The sequence below is a fragment of the Homo sapiens genome, chromosome 1, assembly GCF_000001405.40.
Source record: "Homo sapiens chromosome 1, GRCh38.p14 Primary Assembly".
NCBI lineage: Eukaryota > Metazoa > Chordata > Mammalia > Primates > Hominidae > Homo > Homo sapiens.
The window spans coordinates 70,395,395-70,420,980 of NC_000001.11; the positions used below are offsets into that span (position 1 = coordinate 70,395,395).

Genomic DNA, 25,586 nt, shown 5'->3' on the forward strand with positions numbered 1-25,586 from the left:
TTGCTCAGGCTGGCCTCAAACTCCTGGCCTCAAGCCAGCCTCCTGCCTCAGTCTCCCAAGTAGCTGAGATTACAGGTGTGAGCCACTGAGTCCAAAGCTAATAATTTGGTTTTTTGCCATTTAAATAAGGTGGTTATGTAGTAGGCAAACTCTTTTTGGTTTATGAGTGTCAATCTGAAGATATAAGACTTAGAAGCAGTAGCAGATATGCTTATTTTTTCTCCATTTTTTTCTTGAACTGCAACTAGAGGAGGACCAAATCAGTCTAGCTTACTTTCTCTCTCTCTCTCTCTTTTTTTTTTTTTTTTTTGAGACAGGGTCTCTCTCTGTCACCCAGGCTGGAGTGCAGTAGCACGATCTCCGCCTCACTGCAACCTCCGCCTCCCGGGTTCAAGCAATTCTCCCACCTCAGCCTCCCGAGTAGCTGGGATTAAAGGTGCTTGCCACCATGCCAGCTAATTTTTGTATTTTTAGTAGAGAAGGGTTTCACCATGTTGGCCAGGCTGGTCTCGAACTCCTGACCTCAAGTAATCTGCCCGCCTCGGTCTCCCAAAGTGCTGGGATTACAGGCATGAGCCACAGAACCCGGCCTAGCTTACTTTTTCTACTGTCCCATTTTTCCTCCCATCTTAATGACTTTTCTTATGTTTTCATATTCATTTTTTTCTTTGGACAGATCTATACTTCAGAAAAATCACTCCAGTGGGCTTTAAGCAGCAGCAGCCTATCTATTTGTAGATTTCCTACATATGCTGGTTTATAATTCATTTTGGAACAAAGTTCCTTTATTAAAAAGTTGGCTTCATTTAAAGCAAATAACACAGTAAATAACTTGGTGATACTGATGTATTCTGATTATTTATTTTTTAGACTTCTTCAGGACAAAGATTAAGTCTTGGTATCCCCTTGATTGCCTAGCATTTATTCAGTCATTTAACAAATATTTATGGGGCATTTTCTGTATGACAGATACAGAACTTGATGCTGGTGACACTAAGATAAAATATTGCTCCGTTACTTTCAGAAATGCATAACTTAGCAAAAGACATTTAAATAGGCAATTACAATGAAACACAATAAGAATTCTTATTGAGACCACATCTGTGGTAGGGAAACTAATGCTGGGGGTAGTAGCTTCAGGTATATTTTAACTAGAAAAGGAAAAGCTTGAGCTGAGATGTAGAGAATCAGATGAGTGTTAGTTCATCTGGAAAGGGGAAGGAAAATTCCAGGATAACAATATGTATAAAGACTCATAATCATGAAAGGATATTGGCATATTCAAGGAACTGAATGTAGCATGGTATGGTTGGAGAAGGGTAGGGAAGGCAAGATCATGATGGGTTTTGGATGGTAGGTGAAGGAATGCAAACTTTGTATTATGCAAATCACTGAACAGTTTTAAACCGGGGCATACTATGATCAGTTTTGCATTTTCGTTTTCAAAGTTCTTTCTGATAGCAGAATGGAAGCAATACAGACAGACTAGGACACATAATAAAATACTTCAGCTAAGACAAACTATTATGCTTGCACATAATTGGCACTGAATAACTGTTGAATGAATACAGGAATGAAGAATGAATAGAGTTCAATATTTGTACTCTTGACATATCACACACATATATACAGCTATAGAGACACAGTACAAATAAAAGCCCTTTCTTGAGAGGAGGGACTTGAGAGTATTGACATGATCAAAGCTGCACTTTAAACGAATTATTCTGGCTGTAATGTGCAAGGTGAACTAACAAGGGTGCAGGCTGGAGCACACAGTAGCACCTGATCAATGATGCTGCAATGAAGTCTGGGCGTGGTGGCTCAAGCCTGTAATCCCAGCACTCTGGGAGGCTGAGGCGGGCAGAAACGCTGGCGTTTGAGACTAGCCTGGGCGACATGATGAGATACCATCTCTTAAAAAAAAAATACAAAAATTATCAGGGTGTGGTGGTATGTGCCTGTAGTCTCAGATACTTGGGAGGCTGAGGCATGATCGCTTAAGCCTGGGAGGTTGAGGCTGCAGTGAGCCATGATCTTGCCACTGTACTCCAGCCTGGGTGACAGAGTGAGACCCTGCCACCCTCACCCACACCACCAAAAAAAAAAAAAGGAAGAATGCTGCAAGGGGGATGAGGAAGAGAGAACACATTTAAAAGATACTGTGATTGGGTGGGCGTGGTGGCTCACGCCTGTAATCCCAGCACTTTGGGAGGCCAAGGTGGGCGGATCACTTGAGGTCAGGATTTCAAGACCAGCCTGGCCAACATGGCGAAACCCTGTCTCTACTAAAAATACAAAAAATTAGCTGGGTGTGGTGGCACATGCCTGTAATCCCAGCTACTCTAGAGGCTGAGGCTGGAGAATCACTTGAACCCAGGAGGCGGAGGTTGCAGTGAGCTGAGATCATGCCACTGCACTCTAGCCTGGGTGACAAGAGTGAAAACTCCGTCTCAAAAAAACAAGAAAAAGATACCATGATCATGAAGAGATTAAGAGAGAATTGAAGCATTTGCTGGAGAGGGATGAAATATTAAGAAGATTTTTTTTTAAAGGAGTGTCTTGAGCATGATTATACACTGTGGGGAAGGAGTTGGAGAAGAAGACATGACAAAAATGTTGGAGAAGGTATGAGAGAGGATGGAATCTGGAGTTTAGATTCTTCATTCACTGGTTGTGTGGCTGGAGCAAGTAACGTCAATTCTTTGAACTTCAATGTGTTCACTTGTAAAACTGAGATAATTTCTGTTTTCTGGAATGATGTAGGACACTAGAATAATAGGCATTCAACAAAAAGTAGCTGTTTAGCTATTACTATTAATGTAAGGGCATAACTTTCAGGTAGGCGAAAAGACACTAAGTGGGTGGAGGAAGTTTAGGGGGGCAGAAAGGAAAATGAACAGAGTTCACACCTATTTTCTATAAATATGTCAAGAAGAGAATACAGAAGAGAGTCCTAGAGAAGGGGTTTAAAAGGGAGTGATAGGCCAGGCATGGTGGCTAAGGCCTGTAATCCCAACATCTTGGGGAGCCGAGGCAGGAAGATCGCTTGAGTCCAGGAGTTTAAGACCAGCCTGGGTAACATAGGGAGGCCCTGTCTCTAATTTTTTTTTTTTTTTTTTAAAGACAGAGATTGGGGAAAGCATATAATAGCTGTGGTGGTCATTCAGAGAATAAACTGACTAACTGTGGACATCTAAAGAAATTTTTAATTGGTTTTAAAAGATCAGAGGAGAGAATCAAAGTACTCTCCATTTCTTTCTCATAAAAAATAGCAAGTGGAGGAGTTTGGAATTACTATTTATCATGTTCTCAAGATATCTTTTCCTATACCAGAATTATTTTATACTTTTTTTTTTTTTTTTTTTTGAGACAGAGTCTTGGTCTGTCACACAGGCTAGAGTGCAGTGGCACAATCTTGGCTCACTGCAACCTCTGTCTCCCGGGTTCAAGTGATTCTTGCGCCTCAGCTTCCAGAGTAACTGGGATTACAGGTGGCGTGTTTTAAAACCTGTCCAGAGAAGCTCTTTAAAATTGCTGTTGGCCAGATTTGGAAGCTAACGCCTGTAATCCCAACACCTTGGAAGGCCCAGGTGGGAGGATCGCTTGAGGCTAGGAGTTTGAGAACAGCCTGGGCAACATAGAGAGACCCTGTTTTTATAAAATAATAACAATTAACTGGACGTGGTGGCCCACACCTGTAGTCCTAGATACTCAGGAGTCTGAGATGGGAGGATAGCTTTAGCCCCAGAGTTTGAAGCTGCAGTGAGCTATGACCTTGCCACTACACTCTAACCTGGGTGGACAGAGTGACACCCTGTCTCAAAAAAATAAAAATAATGAATAAATAGATACATTGTTGTTACAAGAAATCTATTACAATAGAAATGGGAGACAGGTGATAGGACAGGAGGAAGTTAATAGGTGTATGAAGAAAAGAGTCTTCTCTTTTGAATTATTTCATATATAGAGGACAAAAGAAAACTTCCTCTTCACCCTCTGAAAGTTCACTGAAAATCACTGACAAGAGGCAGATTAATGGGAGAAAAGGCAAGCAAATTTATTTGATCATAGTTTTACGTGACACGGGAGCCTTCAGAATGAAGATCCACAGATGCAGGGGAAACAGTTCAATTGTATGCTTAGGTTCAAGAAAGTATGGACAGCTGTTTTAAAATATGATTGGACAAAAGGGTTGTGATCTAATTTTTTTTTTTTTTTGAGACATAGTCTTGCTGTGTCCAGGCTGGAGTGCAGTGTGCGGTGGGGCAATCTTGGCTTACTGCAAAATCCGCCTCCCAAATTCAAGTGATTCTCATGCCTCAGCCTCCTGAATAGCTGGGATTACAGGCATGCACCACCATGCCTGGATAATTTTTGTATTTTTAATAGAGACGGGATTTTGCCATGTTGGCCAGGATAGTCTTAAACTTCTGACCTCAAGTGATCCACCCACCTCGGCTTCCCAGAGTACTGGGATTATAGGCATTAGCCACTGTGCCTAGTCCATGATCTAATGTTAAGGGACTGAGTTGTAAAACCCAGCAAGATCTGTCTATCTAGATTCTTCTTGACCTCTCTGAGCATGCATTTCTTCCTTCTGAGTATGGGGCAGGACCCCCTCTGGAATGGGGGTCTTATAACCTATAGTAAAAAAAAAAGTTTGATAATTTTGTTATGGCTAGTTTTTACACAGAAAGACAGGAAGAAAGTTACAGTAATATTTTCAGGTTTTATGGCTGCCTTTGGGAAAAAGGGGACCAGGTTTCTGTGACTGGCATTAAGGAAGAGGGATTCTAGTTTCTATGGCTATCCTCAGGGGAGAATGAAAGGCCAGAGGCAGAAGGGCAGAAGGTCAGAGAGAGCTACTTCTGAAGCCTTCATTTTCGGGTATCATTTTTGAGACCCTATACATACTTGGTTTCTTATTCTAAGGCTTCTGTGACCTTTTATCATCCTAATGATAGGCATTATGAATCTAAAGATAGCTGATTAAATGTATACCGTTTCATAGAAAAATTGAGTCAAAAGACATGATATGGTGGGGAAAACAATAGTATTTATTGTACAATTTGGCTGTGTTAGACACATTGATTTCTTTTCCCAGAGTCTCCTATTTTCACAACAAATGTTCTCTCATCACCATGGTTACTATGGGAGCAACCATTATTAGAGCTGCCTCATATTATTATATCTTATGAAGCTGTTAGTATCTCTTTCAACTCCACATTCAGTGATATCACATTGGTAGCTTGAAACTAACCATAGTGAGAATATTTACACTTCATATTGGCAAGGGGCAAGAGGCAAATTGACACCTCCTCCCTCCCCACTCCAACAGCCAACTGTTACATATTGTCAGCACATCACTGCATTTAGTATTCGATAATTGTCCCTTTGGCTATAAACACTTACACAGAGATGGGCACCTGACTCCGGCTGAACCAACCAGACCTTTTCCTGCAATTCATGAAACTAGAACTGAGAATAAAAGCCAAATACTCTCCAGTGGCAGACACAGTAATAAGTAAATCTTAGGACATGTTGGAGAGAAAAGGGGGAATGTATATGTCAATTAGGTCGGAGAGTTAACAACAACAGACCTACAAAGAGAGAAATAAAAATGAAATAGAAGTACAAAGGTAGGCTGGGAGCGGTGGCTGACGCCTGTAATCCCAGCACTTTGGGAGGCTGAGGTGGGTGGATCACCTGAGGTCAGGAGTTCAAGACCAGCCTGACCAACATGGGAAGCCCTGTCTCTACTAAAAATACAAAGATTAGCTGAGTGTGGTGGCAGGTGCCTGTAATCCCAGCTACCTGGGAGGGTGAGGCAGGAGAATTGCTTGAACCCAGGAGGTGGAGGTTGCAGTGAGCCAAAATGGCGTCACTGCACTCCAGCCTGGGCGATAGAGCGAGACTCCATATTTAAAAAAAAAAAATAAGCAGAGATGAGAGATGGTGAGATAATTTAGGAATATTTAAGCTACTCTTCTATTCCTAAAAACACCTCCATTTCTATTCATGGGTTCCACTAGACACTTCATTTTCATTATAACAAATTCTTCTTTGTGCTAATTTAATTCAAATAAGATTTCTGAACTTTACAAGCTAAAAGAGTCTTAATTCATATGTGGGTCCTCAAATATCTGCTCTTTTAATCTGAAAGTCTCTCAAAGTCTCTTACGTAGTGGTGCTGAAAAAGGTTCCTCTTTGCTGTGGCAGGATAGCCACCAGGCTATCAACTGAGAATTTGATTTCTGTGCTGTTTCTATAAATCAGGTGGAACCAATCCTACCTCTTTGCAATTTGGTCTCTTATCATTCTTTTTACAAAATAACAAATTAATGTTCTCTAACTTTAAAAGTTTTCTGTAATTTTTAATTTTAAAATAAGCTTCTTCTTATGCTTGAAGTTTTAATCTTCTGTATCATAAATATACCACCTGGATTATGAAAAAGAGGGATAATATTTATAACCTTTTTGCTCACCTCAAAACTGCTGTTTACATAAAGCCATACTTACCCCAAGTCAAGACTGCAGGGTACAGTCGTGCGAGTTGTGTTCTTTGCAAAGAGAAGACTTTGTGTCCTGTACAGGACTACCCTGCAGTCTTGGTACAGTTGTTCAGGCCGTGAGTGAGTAGAGGCCCATCATGGGGTTAGGGGCTCAAGCTCTCCAACTTTGTCATGGGCCTACCAACCTACCTGACACTACCCAATAGTGAACTTGCTCTTCTATAAATTCTTATAAATTAGTTACCATCCTTTATAGCACATTCATTTGCTAAGTTTCATTTCCCCTTTATTACATAGTGAAATATCTTGAGGATGGGAAACTGCATTTTATTATTCCTCCAGGTGCCTAGAACTGAGACATTTGATTTGGCCAATGAATACCTGATAAATGAAATAATGTGTTTATAAGTGAGCCATTGTACATCAAAATAGCACAAACCTTTAGGTGTGTTATATTTTGTTTATTATGTAAACATCACTTTCACTACAACTGAAGAGCTCTGTATTACAGCAATATCTATGGGCCAAAACTCTGAGCTAAATAGGCCATGAAAAATGGTATAAGAAAATATCCAACTTACAAAAGAGTAATACAGGCACAACTTAATCTCAAACTGAGACCAAAATATAACTAGTTATTTATTGAAACATAAAGTACTTTGCCTCATTGAATATGTATGTGCCAGGTAAGGGAAATAAGCATTCTAATCAAATTGCAATGCAGGATTGGAGCAAGTCAAAGGGAAGACCAATCATTTGCAAATAGAGGAAATTAATTCCATTAAGTATGCCACAAAAATTCTGGCATTGAAAAATTCAAAAATTTTAGCTCTGTGAACTTGAAAAATATCTAGAACCATTGTTCTAAATAGACATATTTTACTCAGTTCTCTATGTGGGCTCTATTGATAGGCCATTCTTCCCAAGTTCTTATTCTAAGATTCTGATCAGTATGTATCAAGAAGCAGGAACAACTCCAATCTGTGGTTACATTCAAAGCAGGATGTGTTGATTTAACTCCAAAGATTGGACTACTGGGAGCCATATAATCAATAACCTCCAGTGATCATATTTCAGTATCTCTGCCAACTTAATTAATGTCCTTGGGCATGGATTTCTGTGTACAATATGTGCATACTGGAGCATCAATCACTCTAGATAGACCTGAATGCTTGATCTTGATTTTAGATTCCTAGGATATACTACCAGTATATCACGGGCAATAGAGAGTCTCTGGGATAAAAATTATTTGGATAGAAGCTTCTTCTCCTGCTCTCCCTTGGCCAAAATTTTCATGTTGACTAATTGCAATCTATTGATGGTTAGAATCTTACTTGAGTGCCAGTGAACTTCATTTCTGATGGGAAGATTGCCTACAAAATGGGCTCTGAATTTTCAGATAATTTTATTATTAATTCCATAGTTTAGGCCCAAGAATTAGCTTGAACCCAAGTGCACAGAGCTAAATTACCTAGTTTGTGTCACTGAAGTAATTCATTGAGAATCAAAGTCTCTGAAGGTGAACAGTATCAATTTCATTATATATAGAGGAAAATAAGCACATCAGATAAACTATTTTCTAAGCAAAAATGTCAAATTTCCTGCAGGAACCACAGCTGGGCCCTGGGCTCAATTCCTTGGAACATGCCAGTCTGACACAAGGAGTAATCAATGGCCCTTGGAGTCCTGTCCTACCTATGAAAGAAATAGGTGAAATTTCTCTATTATTCCTTCCTTCTGACTATAATCTTCTCTCACTGCCCGCTCCTCTTTAGGGATCCTCCATTTCCCAATTGCCTGCATTTTGATACTTGATACTCTGAAGAACATGGAGTAAATCAACAAACTAATTCACTAAGATGGTAATGACTAATTATATTTATTAAAGTTTCTGATCTTGTGTCCCCTTTACTATTATGGAAGGAGCTCCTAGACCTCTGAAGTGAATGAGAGGGGGACCCCAGGACCTAGAAGCACGCACCTTAGCATGAATAACACTCCCTTAGTGAGCCAAATGCACACCTGGGCCTGTCTCTCTCAGCATGACTTTCCAAGCCTACACCTCTTTTGTTCCCCCTACAAACAGCCCTCTGGCAAGCCCTCTCTCCCTAGCTCAGCCAAACATATCTGGCTTCCTCTTAAACTCAACCTGACACTTAAGAAAAATATACACACAAACACACAGGCACAGGTACAAACTCACACATGCACGTAACATCACAAAGAAACCTAGAAAACAGTGGGGACTGTTTGAAGGGAGGGGTATTTTCTTCTCTTTGTTTATCTATCTTTTCTAAATTTTTGTGGAGTTGATTTGAATTACTAATTCAATTTGAATATCTAATAACAAAATAAAGATGTGATTTTTAAATAAAAAAGACATTAATAACTAAAACATATTATCTCCCTCTCACATCCCTATTTTTTTTTTTTTTTTTTTTTTTTGAGAGGGAGTCTGGCTCAGTTGCCCAAGTTGGAGTACATGGTGAGATCTCGGCTCACTGCAACTCCACCTCCTGGGTTCAAGAGACTCTCCTGCCTCAGCTTCCCAAGTAGCTGGGATTACAGGTGCACGCCACCACACCCGGCTAATTTTTGTATTTTTAGTATAGGCAGGATGTCAGGCTGATCTCGAACTCCTGACATCAAGTGACCTCCCTCCTCAGCCTCCCAAAGTGCTGGGATTACAGGCGTGAGCCACTGCGCCTGGCAACACAGATGATAATTTAACTGCTCCCCCCTCCTCCAGTGCCACATCCTTCCCAGGATATCTGTTTCCCAAGATTTACCCTCTTATGGTCACTTTACTCTCCAATCTCTAGTACCAAGCAAATCTCAAATCACCCCCTACGGTTTTTCCTCTCAGCTCCACAGGAACCCAAGTGTGGAATTCAGCCACTTTTCCTTGATTTTTATTAAAAAACTTTTCTATACTGCAGACTTTAGTGGAGGTTCTGGGGAAATGCATAAAGTTTATGTCAATGCTGCATGAATAATCTAAAATTGCTACTAGGCTTACTTGTTTTTAAAAATGTACACTCAACATGTCTGCTGACTTGGGTGCAATCTCTAGCTGTGTTGCTCAGCTGGTGTGCTTTTCCCTCTGTCATTCCTACTTGATTGTCATTGGCAATTCCTCCCTCTCATGGCCTCCAAGTCTCTCCCTATAGCCTCTACCCTACCTGAGATCTCGCCTTTCACATCCCAAGGCTCATCCTTCCATATGCTCTGCTTCCCCATGGGCATGATCTCTCCTCCACCCATCTCTGCAAAGAAAAGGGACCAATGTGGAGATTATTTCTCTGCTGATATGAAGTATGCTGCCCCTCTCCTGAAGTTAATTTCAGTTTCATGTCACATTTTTTTTTCCTTTGTAACTTTGGTCATTGTTAAGACTTAGTACAGGTTTGGTTTCCTTGAACTAATTTTCCTGACCCACTACCCCTAACCTTCCTATCTCCACCCTATTCTCATCAGGGTAAAGTGTCTATCTTTTTGCAAGATACTAATAATACATGTTTTAGAAACCTCTTCTCTCCTAGAAGACTACATAATTCTCAAATAAAGAAACCAAATCTTATATGTTTATTTAATGCCTCATTTCCTGACAACATCCCTTTGATAATTATGTGCATAATAAATGTATTTTAAAATTTTCATACCTTAGAAAAATTTGCATGTCGAGAGGGCAATCTTTAATGTCTTTTTAACCCTTGGAACTCCTAATTATTCATCAAGATTTAGCTTAATTTTCTGTCTTTCATGAAACTTTCTCTGAGTCCCTATAATACTTTATTCCCACCTTTATTATAACAATACAATATTTTCTTTTCTTTTTTCTGGGCATGGGGGTGGACAGAGTTTTGCTCTTGTTGCCCAGGCTGGAGTACAATGGCACAGTCTCGGCTCACTGCATCCTCTGTCTCCCTGGTTCAAGCGATTCTCCTGCTTCACCCTCTGGAGTAGCTGGGATTATAGGCGCCCGCCACCATGCCCATAGTTTTTGTATTTTTAGTAGAGATGGGGTTTTACCATTCTGGCCAGGCTGGTCTCAAACTCCTGACCTCAAGTGATCGACCAGCCTCGGCCTGCCAGTGTTGGGATTACAGGCTTGAGCCACCGCACCTGGCCAAAATTATTCTTCTTTAATGAGCAGGTTGTCGAATGAATTTAGAAATTTTATTAACCTTCACAATTTTGGCGTAAGAGCCTGTTCAAACACAGCTGCACTAAGCTAAATTACACAATCTAAATCATTAAAGTAGTTGGATAAGTGTCAAAACTTCTGGAGGGATTCCACATTGACTTCATTTTACTTAAAGCACATTTCAAAGCGAACAGGCGTTGGTAACAAAGATCTCTACTAGAACTGAACAGCAATACCCCCAAGGTATGCCTGTATGTAGTGTTTCACTAACATTTCTGGCCACAGAGCCATTTGTTCATTACAAACTTTTCTAGGGACACAGTTTGGGGTGGTTTTCTATTAAATATGTCTTATATGGCCGGCTTTCTTTTTCCTAGATACCACAATCTTCAGTGTGAGTTCATTTTTTCTCAGATTTCTCTATATGTCTTCATTGTCAATCCATTCTTTTTATTGGTAAGCTTAAATTCAGAGCAACCCCGTTAGTTCCTTTATCATTGTTCTCAACTGGAGTTGTTGTTTTGTGATTGGAAATATGTGGGGTTGTGCAACTAGCCACCAGGGAAGATGAATGCCCTGCAATTAGCCAAACAGTCCCGCAACATGGAGAATTGCTCCCCCTAAAATGTTTTCTCTCTGATATAAAGTTATAAGCGAAAGTCAAGAGCTTTTCAATTGCTGCATTACTAGTTGAATAAGACATCTGCATGCCTGGATAGTGCAAATTACCTATCTTTTTTTTTTTAAATCTCTGTGCCACTTATGAACATTGCAAAAGATATTGCTTACTTTCTGTATTGGGTCACACGACCTCTGCATAGTATTCCTCTTCAAAGGTACTGCAAATATCAGTTTTGATAGAAAAATATCAAAAGTAGCTCTCTGACCTAAGTGCTTCCCATTTATTCTACTTGCCTTATACCCCTTTCCTGGCCTGCCAGATGCTTTTAAGAACCTATTTTTGAGAACTGCCAAGTATTATTTTACCCATTTTACAGAAGAAAGTGAGACTTACAGAGATTAAGTCAATTGCTCCCTCAAGGTCACAGAGACAGCAGGTTCCAGAGGTGAGCTTCAAACCCAAGCATTCTGACTCCAAACTTCAGGTGCTTAACTGCTATGTCTGAGTTGTTATTTATATTATGTTTTTCAGTCATATTTGACTCCTTTTACATCATTGTGGAATGCATCCAAATGATTTTGGGATTACTTCTTCATCTTAAATGTCTGAAGCTGTACTCAATTCTCAGCCTAGATACTCGCTATATTAATATGAGTATGTCGCTTATCTTCTTTGTATCTATCACTAAAAGAAAGCAATTGTGCTAGAAATTTGCTCTCCAGTGTCTCTTGATATTAACTTTAATAATTCCATCAACAATATCTAGACCTTTTTATTCTCAAGACATATAATTTTCAATTATGCCATATCAAAACATAATTGATATGATTGCATAATATCTTTTTGTTACTATTTTAAAAAATTGTTTCCACCAGGAAGTGAAGGTAGGTGTCATAAGTGCTATCTGGCTTGGTGCAGTGGCTCATGCCTGTAATCCTAGCACTTTGGGAGGCCAAGGCAGGTAGATCGCTTGAGCTCAGGAGTTCAAGACCAGCCTGGGCAAGATGGTAAAACTTCATCTCTACAAAAAAAACCCACAAAAAATTAGCCTGGCATGGTGGCGCATGCCTGTAGTCTCAGCTACTTGTGGGGCTGAGGTGGGAGGATCACTTGAACCTGGGAGGCAGAGGTTTCAATGAGAGCCAAGATGGCACCACTGCACTCCAGCCTGGGGAAGACTGAGACCTTGTCTCAAAAAAAAAAAAAAAAAAGTGCTATCTGACAGGCTTTGGCCCATTGTAGTAATCTACAAGTCTACCAAATTTAGATCTTATATTGTAATATCTTCTTTCCCCTGATCCCCAAATTCCCTTCATAATTCTCATTATTTCATTGACAAAAGCCCAAGGATGAACAAATTGTTTTCTTTTGAGGTAAAACAAAACAGATCTAATAATTGCGTATGTTTATGCTTGATAATAATAATAATATATTTTATGAACATCCCTCCCAAGTCCCGATTGCACTGTTTTGATATTCAGTCACGGTATCTTTATTCATAGCCTGCCTTTAATGAGAATAGTAGAGGTCTTTGTGCATAAACACAAGAAGTACAGTGCTATTTTCATAGTGTTTAAGAAGTACTTATTATAAAATAATGTACTCTGTGTTTTATAAAAGGATCAAACAGTAAAGAAATATAAAAAATGAGAAGTTTCCCATTTCCTCTAAAATATCTGCTTTTGCTGAATCTCCTTCCCAAGAAGAATTAATAATTCTTCTGTAAGTGTTATGATATTTTGTTGTATGCAACATAATTTATATGAAAAATTAGCACACACCTCAAACTATATACCATTTATTGGATTTAAAGTGGCTATCATTTAATCATTTAAAAAGCTTTTTTTCTAAATACAGTTGTCTTTCTAAAATGTTTAAATTAGGGTTTTTGGTAGTATTATTATTGTTGAAAAGGTAATATGTGCCCATGATATAAAACTTGAACACAAAAGAGAATAAAATGTAAAGAAAATCACCTTTCCACTGCAGATCCATAGTCTCTATGACCAGAAGGATTTTTATACATATGAAATCATAAATATCTGTCTGAAAATAATGCAACATAGTATATATTCTTTTGAAAAAGTGGAAGCATGATGTATACGTTACTTTGCTTTGCTGTCTTAGATATTAGAGATCAATAGGCCAGGTGTGGTGGCTCATGCCTGTAATACCAGCACTTTGGGAGGCCAAGGCTGGTGGATCACTTGAGGCAAGGAGTTCGAGGCCAGCCTGGCCAACATGGTGAAACCCATCTCTACTAAAAATACAAAAATTAGCCAGACATGGTGGCTGCATCTGTAGTCCCAGCTACTTGGGAGGCTGAGGCAGAAGAATCTCTTGAAACCTGGAGGCAGAGGTTGCAGTGATTCGAAATGGCACCACTGCACTCCAGCCTGGGTAACAGAGCGAGACTCTGACATACCAGCACATCTCAATCTCTTCCTGCTTCTTGGCCATACTGTAGCCATCACAGAGTAGTATCATAACCAGTTAACCAGTCTTTTAAGAATGAATAATTAAGCCATTTTTCACTCTTTTGCTATTAAAAATAGTAACGTAGGTTTAAAAAGCATCCTTGCTCATCTCTGTACACATATTAAGAATATATCTAAAGGATAAATTCCTGCAAGTAAAATTTTCTACAAAAGAAATTGCTGAGTCATAGAAAGGGGATATTTTAAATCCTTGATACATATTAAGCTGCATCCAATAAAGTTTTCTCAGTTTAAGAGAGTAAAAAAGGCCTGATTTATAGCATTTGTATTGGGTGCTATCTTTTTTTTTTTTTTTTTTGAGATGGAGTCTCACTCTGTGGCCCAGGCTGTAGTGCAGTGACATGATCTCGGCTCACTGCAACCTCCGCCTCCTGGGTTCAAGCGATTCTCCTGTCTCAGGCTCCCAAGGAGCTGGGATTACAGGTGTGCACCACTACGCCCAGCTAAGTTTTGTGTTTTTTGTAGAGATGGGGTTTCACCCTGCTGGCCAGGCTGGTCTCGAACTCTTGACTTCAGGTGATTCGCCCACCTCGGCCTCCCAAAGTGCTGGGATTAATAGGCGTTAGCCAATGCACCCAGCCTAGTGCTGTCTTCTGAATGATTCTTTATTACAGTACACTAAATAAAATGTCTGTATTTATGCAACTCAGGGTTTGTCAGCAAATATTAGGAGGTAAAACTAATTGGAACTGTTTTAGACCCTTTTGGCCCCTAAATGCCATATCATATTACACAAAAATACCCACCTATAGTTATACATAAATATTGAGGTGAGTTGCAGTTGATGTTATATTTTTAAAAGAAAAATATTAATTAAATATGTATTAATATACATTAGTGTTTTGAAGTCTATCCATTTTTTCCCCCAGCCATACAAAGTTTGGTAGGATTCTAAAAGCTTGTAGGCCCTCAAGCACCACTCCTCTAGTGCTTAATGGGTTAAATGTCCCTAAAGCTAATTTGAAAAGCAAATTGCCTCATTCTTTCTCTTCATATCTTTCTTTCAAACTGTAAATTTTAAGAGCTGTTTATTCCTTATTCTCCTTGTTCTTAATTTGTTTAATAAAGTTTTAGATCTTTAGCGAATATTTTGCAACAACAGAAATATCCCCAAATTTCCTGGTGCTAGAAAACAGCCACAATAGTAAGTAGGTCAAGTCTGTATTGCTTAGGGAACAGGGAGATTTTTGTTTTAAAGCAGTGATTCTTCTGAGAGTAGGGCTCTGGGCGCAGGTGAGTGGTAAACAATCCTTTTTCCTGCAGGGATGTTGCTGTTGTGTAAAAGCAAAAGCATTTTGTGTAAGGATGTTAGGCTCCAGTAAGTATTTCAAAGCCACATTATCTTTCTCATTAGGGGGAGTTTCTCTCTGTACTTTAAAAGAAGATAATGATGCTTGAAAAAGCTCAAGATTGACTAACTTTTAGGAAGCTGCCAGAGTTGTGCATAGACGTCCTCACTACAGTAGCTTCGTTATGTCTTACGAACAATTTAACCTTCACTTCTAGTCATCGTTTCGTCATCGTAAGCACTGGGTCATTACAGAGTTCAGTGTACCTAAAACGCAAGCTGTGACTGATGAGAATCCAAGCTGCAAACTGGGCGGCTTGGGCAACTGTTTTCTTAACCACCCTCCACGTTGTGGCTTACGTCTTTTAGCACCGCCCTCAGGGCAAAGGATGGTGGTCAGAGGTAACTACCACAGTAAAAGAAGGCTATTTATGTGGTCTGTTTACAGTTACCCGGTTTCAACACTAAGCCAGCTTTCCGCCACGTCTCGGGCGAACCTCCGGCCTGAGGTCACAGAGACGCCCGGGTGGCTCTCAGGAGCCAGCATGGCAGCCTCCTCAGGACGGGTACTCAGGAATTTCGCCCGCAGGGACTAACACCACTTGGACCCAGGGACTCCAGCTTCACTCCGCTTTGTGCACTGGGTGGGGCGGTCGCGGTGACGTTTCAGGCAACGCCTCTGCTGTCAGCCAATAAGGAGCGGGAGACGCGTCGGGCCTGCGCTCAATGGGCCGCGCTGGTCCCGCCCCACTGTGATCGTGAGACTGCAGACCCGCTAATAAAATCCACCCCAACAATCGCTGTGTGCCGCTTTAGTGCGCTCGCCGTCGGCTCTACCTGCGTGCTTTAGCTCCTTCTCGCCTGATCCTTCTGTCTCTCCCAACCCCGGACACCCGGCTTCGACTGGTTATATCTTCGGTGTTCTTTTCCTCTCTTCTTCTTTCGCGGTTCAGCATGCAGGAAAAAGACGCCTCCTCACAAGGTTTCCTGCCACACTTCCAACATTTCGCCACGCAGGCGATCCATGTGGGCCAGGATCCAGAGCAATGGACCTCCAGGGCTGTAGTGCCCCCCATCTCACTGTCCACCACGTTCAAGCAAGGGGCGCCTGGCCAGCACTCGGTGAGCTGGGTCTGTCTGGGGCTGTCCACAGTTGGGCGGTAAAAGAGATACGGCTTATGAATTTGAAAGGCATGTAAGTAATTTATAATATGACTTATAAATTAGGAAGGCAACCGAAAGATGTTTCTACACTGTAATTCTTGCAGCACAGCTTTGTATCGGATGGTCCAGTGATCGTATTTCTTTTGATAAGCAGGACTGGAAGGAGCCGTTTGTCCAGCTTGCCATTTAGATTTGGCCTGAAATTCAGGTGATTTTGACAAATTTGCAATTAAAAATCGAAGGTCATAACTTTTTTGAGTTACCTTTAGCAGCATAAATTTTAAAGATGTAGTACGGAGTCAGCTTAAAAAATATTAAGGGTCTGATAACTTGACTAGAATTAAGATTGTTTCCAGTAGCTGTATGAATAGTTATTGAGTACCTACTATATGCCAAATACGTGCTCGTATATATCATGTGTATTACATGTATTGTCTCATCTAATCCTAACAACAACCCTAGTCTGAACCGAATTCTCATTTTTTCCCAATAAAGAAGCTGAGATTTAGGGAGTTAAGTAACTAGCCTTAGACTAGTAAGTATTGGAGATGGAATTCAAACTTTAGAAACTTGAGGTTGCTTTAGGAACCAACTCCTAGGCACTCAGCTACACTATGCTATCTCTAATAATGCTAGTAACAATTTAGCCTATTGCGTCATTTAAGCACTGTGGCTTAGTGATTAAGAACACAACTCATGACCGGGTGCAGTGGCTTACGCCTGTAATCCCAGCACTTTGGGAGGCTGAGGCGGGTGGATCACCTGAGGACAGGAGTTCGAGCCCAGCCTGGCCAACATGGTGAAACCCCATCTCTACTAAAAATAAATAAATTAGCTGGGCATGGTGGCGGGTAATCTCAGCTACTCGGGAAGCTGAGGCAGGAGAATCGCTTGAACCCAGGAGGCAGAGGTTGCAGTGAGCCAAGATCTCACCATTGTGCTCCAGCCTGGGTGACAAGAGTGAAACTCCAACTCAAACAACAACAGAAAAAGAGAACACAAATCTTATAGTCAAAGGCTAGGTTTGCATTCTGACACCACTTCTTCTGAGCTGGGGGACCTTGGGCAAGTTAGTTAACCTATCAAAACCTCTGACTGATCCTGTATAAATGGGGATAATAATAGTATCTACCACATAAGTTGTTGAGATGTATTTAAGGCTGTATAGTACATAATAATTACTCGATGGTAATTTGTTTTTTCATGATGTTCACATTTACACTATTTCCATTTGATCCTCACAACAACCAGGTCAGAAGGCAGGACAGGTATTATGTACTTTTTATAGAAAAGGAACTGACACAGAGTCATACATGAATGATCTGTAAAGCCTACGAAGGAGCCCTCTTTGTTAATCACATAGCTTTTTTCCCCCTTTTGGTGGCATACTTGATGGATCTTAGAGAATTTAAAAGTTGCTGAGATTTGTAAGAATTAGTTAAAGTCTGTAAGTCCAAAGCCTTGATTATGCTTTGGAAACCACTTCAGTGTGTTATATAAGTTGAGGAAAATCCTTACAGACAGTCCCTTGTTTTGTGAGATACAGTTCTAAGGCCATTTCTACAACTGGTTTAGAATACTCTTTACTGTATTTTAGAATCAAAATATGTACACAGCCTCTCTTTCTTTCTTTCTTTTTTTTTTTTTTTTATTTTTCAGAGAGAGTCTTACTCTGTCACCCAGGCTGGAGTGCAGTGGTGCGATCTCGGCTCACTGCAACCTCCGCCTCCCGGGTTCAAGCGATTCTCCGGCCTCAGCCTCCTAAGTAGCTGGGATTACAGGCGCCTGCCACTGCGCCTGACTCATTTTTTATTTTTTTTAGTAGAGACGGGGTTTCACCATGTTGGCCAGGCTGCTCTTGAACTCCTGACCTCGTGATTCACCCGCCTTGGCCTCCCAAAGTGCTGGGATTACAGGTGTGAGCCACGGCGCCCGGCTCACAGCCTCTCTTTCAAACATGCAGTTCGTTTCTTGTGTAGGGTTTAATGAAAGTGTAGCTGCCCAAGCTTTGGAACTTAGTGCAAAAGTTTACCATTCAGGTGTGATATTAATAATTAAATGTTTCCAGGAAGCCAGCAGGGATGGTTAAATCCACAAAAACTCTGCTTAATATCTTTTTTTTTTTTTTTTTTTTGAGACAGAGTCTTGCTCTCTTGCCCAGGCTGGAGTGCAGTGGTGCGATCTTGGCCCACTGCATCCTCCACCTCCTGGGTTCAAGTAATTCTCCTACCTCAGCTTCCCGAGTAGCTGAGATTACAGCTGCCCGCCACCATGCCCAGCTAATTTATTTATTTTTAGTAGAGACGGGGTTTCACCATGTTGGCCAGGCTGGTCTTGAAATCCTGACCTCAGGTGATTCACCTCTGAAAGTGCTGGGATTACAGGCATGAGCCACCGCGCCCGGCCCTTTTTAAAAATCAGCTAAGACCACTAAAGGGAATTTGAAGAGCTGAATGAGAAACGGGAGGTACCTTTCTGTGGCAGAAGCCACGTGAATCCAAACTTTTTTTTTTTTAATCTGCAGGGTACAGCTGCAGGTCATGGTAAGAAGGTGATGGTGGGGAGGGGTAAGGATATCCTGGAGCCCTATAAAATATGTCTGCTCAGGTTGGGCGCGGTGGCTCACGCCTGTAATCCCAGCACTTTCGGAGGCTGAGGCGGGTGGGTCATGAGGTCAGGAGATGAAGACCAACCTCCCCAACGTAGTGAAACCCCATCTCTACTAAAAAAGTACAAAAATTAGCTGTGTGTGGTGGCGTGCCTGTAGTCCCAGCTACTCTGGAAGCTGAGGCAGGAGAATCGCTTGAACCCGGGAGGTGGAGGTTGCGCCACTGCACTCCAGCCTGGCAACAGAGCGAGACTCCCTTTCAAAAAAAAAAAAGTCTGCTCAACTTGTCATAAACAAGGGCACATAGCAACAAAACTTTTAGAAGTTATTGTTGTTAATACTGGGAGCTTCTGAATCAGAAACAAAGGTGAAAGAGTGGTTGTGTTTTGTTATGTTATGTGAAGCAGAGGGAGAAAATTATAGGACTTCTAATTAATGTTCGAATCCTTGGTTCACAATCCGGTTTTGACACTCCCTAGGTACTATTGCATTTGGCTTCACTTTCCTCAAAGCCAGTCATAAGGATTAGTAGAATGACTGGATGAATATAGCTAGCAGGGTGCCATATATGTAAAAGGAGAATAATGCAATTTTTTTTTTTCCCGAGACAGAGTCTCGCTCTGTTGGCCAGCCTGGAGTGCAGTGGCACTATCTCGGCTCACTGCAACCTCCGCATCCTGGGCTCAAGCAATTCTCCTGCCTCAGCCTCCCGAGTAGCTGGGATTATAGGAATGCAAATTTTTAAAAAGTATTGTGTGGAGCTGTTTTGCCAGGAATTGCTCCCTATGCTTTGAGCCACTTTTGTAGAGCCAAGATGTGAATGAATGTTGAGCATTGGTAGGATGTGATCATAACTTCCTGTTGTATGCTAAATAGAACTTGAATCAGCCTGACAGATGGCTCACTCCTGTAATCTCAGCACTTTGGGAGACCAATGTGGGAAGATTGCTTGAGGTCAGGAGTTCAAGACCAGCCTGGGCAACATAGCTAGACTGCCTCTACAAAAAATAAAATTAAAATATTTGTTAGGCATGGTGACATGCACCTGTAGTCTTAGCTACTCAGGAGGCTGAGATCGGAGGATTGCTTAAGCCCAGGAGTTTGAGGCTGCAGTGAGCTATGATTGCCCCACCGTACTCTAGCCTGGGCAACAGAGTGAGGTCCTATCCTTAAAAAAAAAAACTTGTATCACTTAATCATTTATTTCTTAGGAAATGAAATACAGGTTAGAATTAGGTTTATTCTGTTGGCTCATGCAAGTCCCTTTTCCTAATGTTTCCAGATTAATGAAAAAAGGTGAGTCTAACATAATAAACATACTAATAATAAAAACTGTCATTTATTTAGTGATTAGCATGTGCCAGGAAACATGTAGTGAATTTGTGCATTATCTCATTTTATCTTCACAACAATTTTATGAACCAGATATCTGTATTTTATTCCCATTTTACAGATATTGAGATTGACTCTTGGAAATGTGAAGTAACTTACCTAGTGTCATGCAGCTCATAAGTGGCAGATACAGAATTCACATAGAGTTTGTTTGACTTCAGAGCATCTTGACTATAGCCACAGCACTGTTCTGCTTCTGTATTAAAGCAAGACATATCATGACTAAAGAATAGAAACTAATTATGGTAGGGTGAAACTATAGTTCTCTATGTTAGGACTCTGATAATAAACTGAAATCTCTTAGGATGAACTCGAACTTGTTTTTTTCAGGGTTTTGAATATAGCCGTTCTGGAAATCCCACTAGGAATTGCCTTGAAAAAGCAGTGGCAGCACTGGATGGGGCTAAGTACTGTAAGTAATTTCCATTTCACAGTCTAGAATCTATTTTTAAATGTATAGAGAAAACCATAGAGGCACAGAATGTGGAACTGAAAAGAAACAGATTTGCTAGTTCAAAATTCCTGTTCTACTGCCTTTGAATTCTTTGCCCAAGGTCCCTCAGTTGGTATAATATGCATATGTGTAATCATCAGGTAAAAATACGTATGAATAGAGGACAAATGAATAAAGGAAAAAATTCACACGAATACTACATTTATTAATACTACATTTATCATGTAGTATTCATGTGAAAACAATCTTCATCTGAAACTGTCAGTATAAATAAATAAATGGAAATTAAATTTAATAACACCACCTATTAGAATATAAAATCTTTTTTTGAGACAGGGTCTCTCATTCTGTTGCTCAGGCTGGAGTGCAGTGGCACAATCTCTGCTCATTGCAACCTCCTCCTCCAGGATTCAAGCGATTCTCCTGCCTCAGCCTCCTGAGTGGCTGGGATTGCAGGTGTGCACCACCACACCCTGCTAATTTTTTTTTTTTTTTTTTTTTGAGACAGAGTCTTGCTCTTGTCGCTCAGGCTGGAGTGCAATGGCAGGATCTCGGCTCACTGCAACCTCCGCCTCCTGGATTCAAGCAATTCTTCTCCTTCAGCCTCCCAAGTAGCTGGGATTACAGGTGCCTGCCACCACGCCCAGCTAATTTTTTGTATTTTTAGTAGAGATGGGGTTTCACCATGTTGGCCAGGCTGGTCTCGATCTCCTGACCTCGTGATCTCCCGCCTTGGACTCCCAAAGTGCTGGGATTACAGGAGTGGGCCACCACGCCCAGCCTTTTTTTTGTATTTTTAGTAGAGATGGGGCTATTTTGGCCAGGCTGGTCTGGAACTCTTGGGCTCAAGTGATCTGCCCACCTCGGCCTCCCAAAGTGCTGGGATTATAGATGTGAGCCACCACACTTGGCCTAAACTTGCTTATCCTCTGGTTTATTCACCTAATAATTTGTGCCTGAGAATAGCACTAAAGTTATTTTCAGTGGTCAATAACTCCTGATAATGTGCTGTCAGAGATTAGAGATTAACTCCCTAAACTTTTTTTTTTAATGAAGAGAGTCTTGTGTATTCATTGTGATTACACTTATCAGACAAATCTCAGGTCTGATTGCGAGTTTTGTTAAAATATTTACTGAATTGCATATTCATATAATTAACGTATGAATCATATCTTTGCTCTATTCTTTATGTTTGAAATTTCTCTTTTCTTTCTTTTTTTTTTGATATGGAGTCTCCCTCTGTCACCCAAGCTGGAGTGCAGTGGTGCAATCTTGGCTCACTGCAACCTCCACCTCCTGGGTTCAAGCGATTCTCCTGCCTCAGTCTCCCTCGTAGCTGGGATTACAGGCATGTGCCACCATGCCTGGCTAATTTTTGTATTTTTAGTAAACACAGAGTTTCACCCTGTTGGCCAGGCTGGTCACGAAATCTTGACCTCAAATGATCCACCTGCCTTGGGCTCCCAAAGTGCTGGGATTATAGGCATTAGCCACCACGCCTGCCCTGAAATTCCTTTAGTTTGCTATTTTTAAACTGTAGTTTAACTGGCAATAGGCCTTTTATCTCAGATATTTGTAAAGAATTATTTTCTTGAAGTGTTTCAGAGAAATATTATTACCAAGGCAAAATTGACTTAACACAAAAGTATCTGTCCACATTATATATTTTTTATTTTAAAGATATCTTATTCTTGAAATAGAAAAGGAGATTTTGTAATGGTATTAATCAGGGGCCTCTAGCAACTCAGCAGTGATGGCTTCCTATCTGCATTAAAGTAAGTCAGGTAAATACTTGGAGGTGTGTTGTAACCTATAGGCCTGACTTTTCAGCTTACTCTAACTTGATTTTTATTTTAGGTTTGGCCTTTGCTTCAGGTTTAGCAGCCACTGTAACTATTACCCATCTTTTAAAAGCAGGAGACCAAATTATTTGTATGGATGATGTGTATGGAGGTAGGTGACCCCTCTCATTTATATTCTGTAAACTTGTATTTTACAGATAATAAAGTGAGCCCTGAATTAATATTAACAATGTTGCCAGTATTTTTGATTATTTATTATAGTTTACAGGTGTGACAGGTACCTCTATGCTCTCTCAGACTTGGGAAAAGAGGAGCATAAACACTTAGGGTCCATGTTCTGGAACTGCTTATAAGAGAGATTATTTATTTATTTATTTGTTTATTTTTAGATAGGATCTCACTCTGTCACCCGGGTTGGAGTGGAGTGGTACGATCTCAGCTCACTGCAGTCTCCGCCTCCTGGGTTCAAATGGTTCTCATGCCCTAGCCTCCTGAATAGCTGGGACCCCAGGCGCATGCCACCACACCTGACTAATTTTTGTATTTTTTGTAGAGACGGGGTTTCGTTGTGTTGGTCAGGCTGGTCTGGAACTCCTGAGCTCAAGTGATCCTCCCTCTCCAGCCTCCCAAAGTTTTGGAATTACGGGCGCGAGCCGCCTCACCTGGCCAGAGATTATTTACTAAGAATAGTATTTAAGGTGCTAGAATGAATACGTAGCACTTGATCAACTTGCAGACATATTCTGCTCTAGAGAAGATAAGGTTTAGAGAGACAGTGTTCTCCTGTAACTTAATTTTTACCTGTAATAAAGATGAAATACAACTCAGGTTACTCTCAAGAGTTCAACCCCACACATCCCCTTTTGCTTTTTATTTTTTGTTTGGCACCAGGGAAACTTTCAAAAATTTGTTGAGAGATATGGGCCTCTTTTCCCAAAAAATGTTCTTAAGACTACACTGAGTGATTAGCATTTTAATTTTAGGGGTCTCATGGATTGAACCGCTGAAGCCCATCTATGGCTCTAAATTTAAGAACTTCCCATTAACTCTTCATTTAGCATTAGGTATATCTCCTAATGCTATCCCTCCCCCCTCCCCCCACCCCACAACAGTCCCTGGTGTGTGATGTTCCCCTTCCTGTGTCCATGTGTTCTCATTGTTCAATTCCCACCTATGAGTAAGAACATGTGGTGTTTGGTTTTTTGTCCTTGTGATAGTTTGCTGAGAATGATAGTTTCCAGCTTCATCCCTGTCCCTACAAAGGACATGAACTCATCCTTTTTTATGGCTGCATAGTATTCCATGTGTATATGTGCCACATTTTCTTAATCCAGTCTATCACTGTTGGACATTTGGGTTGGTTCCAAGTCTTTGCTATTGCGAATAGTGCCGCAATAAACATACATGTGCATGTGTCTTTATAGCAGCATGATTTATAATCCTTTGGGTATATACCCAGTAATGGGATGGCTGGGTCAAATGGTATTTCTAGTTCTAGATCCCTGAGGAATCACCACACTGACTTCTACAATGGTTGAACTAGTTTACAGTCCCACCAACAGTGTAAAAGTGTTCCTATTTCTCCACAACCTCTCCAGCACCTGTTGTTTCCTGACTTTTTAATGATCGCCATTCTAACTGGTGTGAGATGGTATCTCACTGTGGTTTTGATTTGCATTTCTCTGATGGCCAGTGATGATAAGCATATACCTAACGCTAAATGATGAGTTAATGGGTGTAGCACACCAACATGGCACATGTATACATATGTAACAAACCTGCATGTTGTGCACATGTACCCTAAAACTTAAAGTATAATAAAAAAAATTTAAGAACTTCCATTCCAAAGAAATTAAATGTTAGCTATTTAAAGTGGTGAATGTGGAGAAGACAGGCTTGCCCTTGCCTTTAAGCCCACTGATTTTTGTATTTAAAACAAAAGCAAGGAATTTTGTGAATATACATATACATATATTCCAGATGCTTCCAAATAATTAAAATGTGATTTCTAGAATATTATCATTTTATCTATTTCCTATCTGAACAAAAAGTTAAATCACTAAGTCCTTTAAAACAGCAGTTCCCAACCTTTTTGGCACCAGGGACCGGCGTGTTTTTTTTTTTTTTTTTGAGGTGGAGTCTTGCTCTGTTGCCAGGCTGGAGTGCAGTGGCACGATCTCGGCTCACTGCAACCTCCGCTTCCCGGGTTCAAGCGATTCTCCTGTCTCAGCCTCCCGAGTAGCTGGGATTACAGGCATGTGCCACCACGCCTGGCTAACTTTGTGTTTTTAGTAGAGCCAGGGTTTCTCCTTGTTGGTCAGGCTGGTCTCAAACTCCCGACCTTAGGTGATCCACCTGCCTCGGCCTCCCAAAGTGCTAGGATTACAGATGTGAGTCACTCGTGCCCGGCCTCAGGGACTGGTTTTGTAGAATACAATTTTTCCAGGGACAGGGGGATGGTTCCAGGATGAAACTGTTCCACCTCAGATCATCAGGCACTATTTAGATTCTCATAAGGAGCATGCAATCTAGATCCCTCGAAAGTTAGATTCTCATAAGGAGTGCACAACCTAGATCCTTCCCATGAGCAATTCACAGTAGGTTTCCTCCTGTGAGAATCTGATGCTGCCGCTGATTTGACAGGAGACTGAGCTCAGGGAGTCATATTGCTTACCCGCTGCTCACCTCCTGCTGTGTAGCTGGATTCCTAACAGGCCACAAACCTGTACCTGTCTGTGGCCTGGGTTGGGGACCCCTGCTTTAAAGGAAGGGACTTACTCTTAGTAATCATTTTATCCCTCAGAAATTTGCACAATGTTTCGTATTTTATCTTAGTTTCTTATATTAGCTTGTTGAGTTGAAATTATAGAAATCTGAAACCTTTAGATACTTTTATAATGCAATATAAAAGTCTCATGGCAAACATAGGTATAAAATCCTGAAAATTGTTGATTTTAAAGAACTTTTTACATTATTTTTCAATTTTATATTACCTAGGGTCAGTCTACATACCATCAAAAGTCTAGTTTCTCATTAATGACAGAATATTCTTTTGTTGTTGTTGTTGTTATTGAGTATCAATATCAATTTTTTCTTTAA

At 40.7% G+C, this 25,586-nt stretch overlaps 1 protein-coding gene across 3 annotated transcripts in view, besides 3 other annotated features; it reads left to right on the forward strand.

Annotated features, from left to right (window-relative positions):
- Positions 15,445–15,704: an enhancer, noted in NCBI's record as "active region_1194". NCBI's record gives its function as "activates an Ori minimal core promoter by ATAC-STARR-seq in GM12878 lymphoblastoid cells {active_cell/tissue: GM12878}" and the evidence as "EXISTENCE:reporter gene assay evidence [ECO:0000049][PMID:35858748]".
- Positions 15,765–15,914: a silencer, noted in NCBI's record as "silent region_989". NCBI's record gives its function as "represses an Ori minimal core promoter by ATAC-STARR-seq in GM12878 lymphoblastoid cells {active_cell/tissue: GM12878}" and the evidence as "EXISTENCE:reporter gene assay evidence [ECO:0000049][PMID:35858748]".
- The window catches only part of CTH (cystathionine gamma-lyase), a 28,584-nt gene continuing 18,871 nt past the window's right edge, over positions 15,874–25,586 (forward strand). For 2 of the 3 annotated variants that reach the window (NM_001902.6, NM_153742.5), the window contains exons 1-3: positions 15,874–16,189; positions 20,562–20,643; positions 22,543–22,638. In NM_001902.6, coding sequence (NP_001893.2) covers positions 16,022–16,189; positions 20,562–20,643; positions 22,543–22,638 — 346 coding nt within the window. In that variant the 5' untranslated portion in view covers positions 15,874–16,021. The remainder of the gene's footprint in view (positions 16,190–20,561; positions 20,644–22,542; positions 22,639–25,586) is intronic. The other variant, NM_001190463.2, reaches the window with a different exon arrangement.
- Positions 20,601–20,650: an enhancer, noted in NCBI's record as "active region_1195". NCBI's record gives its function as "activates an Ori minimal core promoter by ATAC-STARR-seq in GM12878 lymphoblastoid cells {active_cell/tissue: GM12878}" and the evidence as "EXISTENCE:reporter gene assay evidence [ECO:0000049][PMID:35858748]".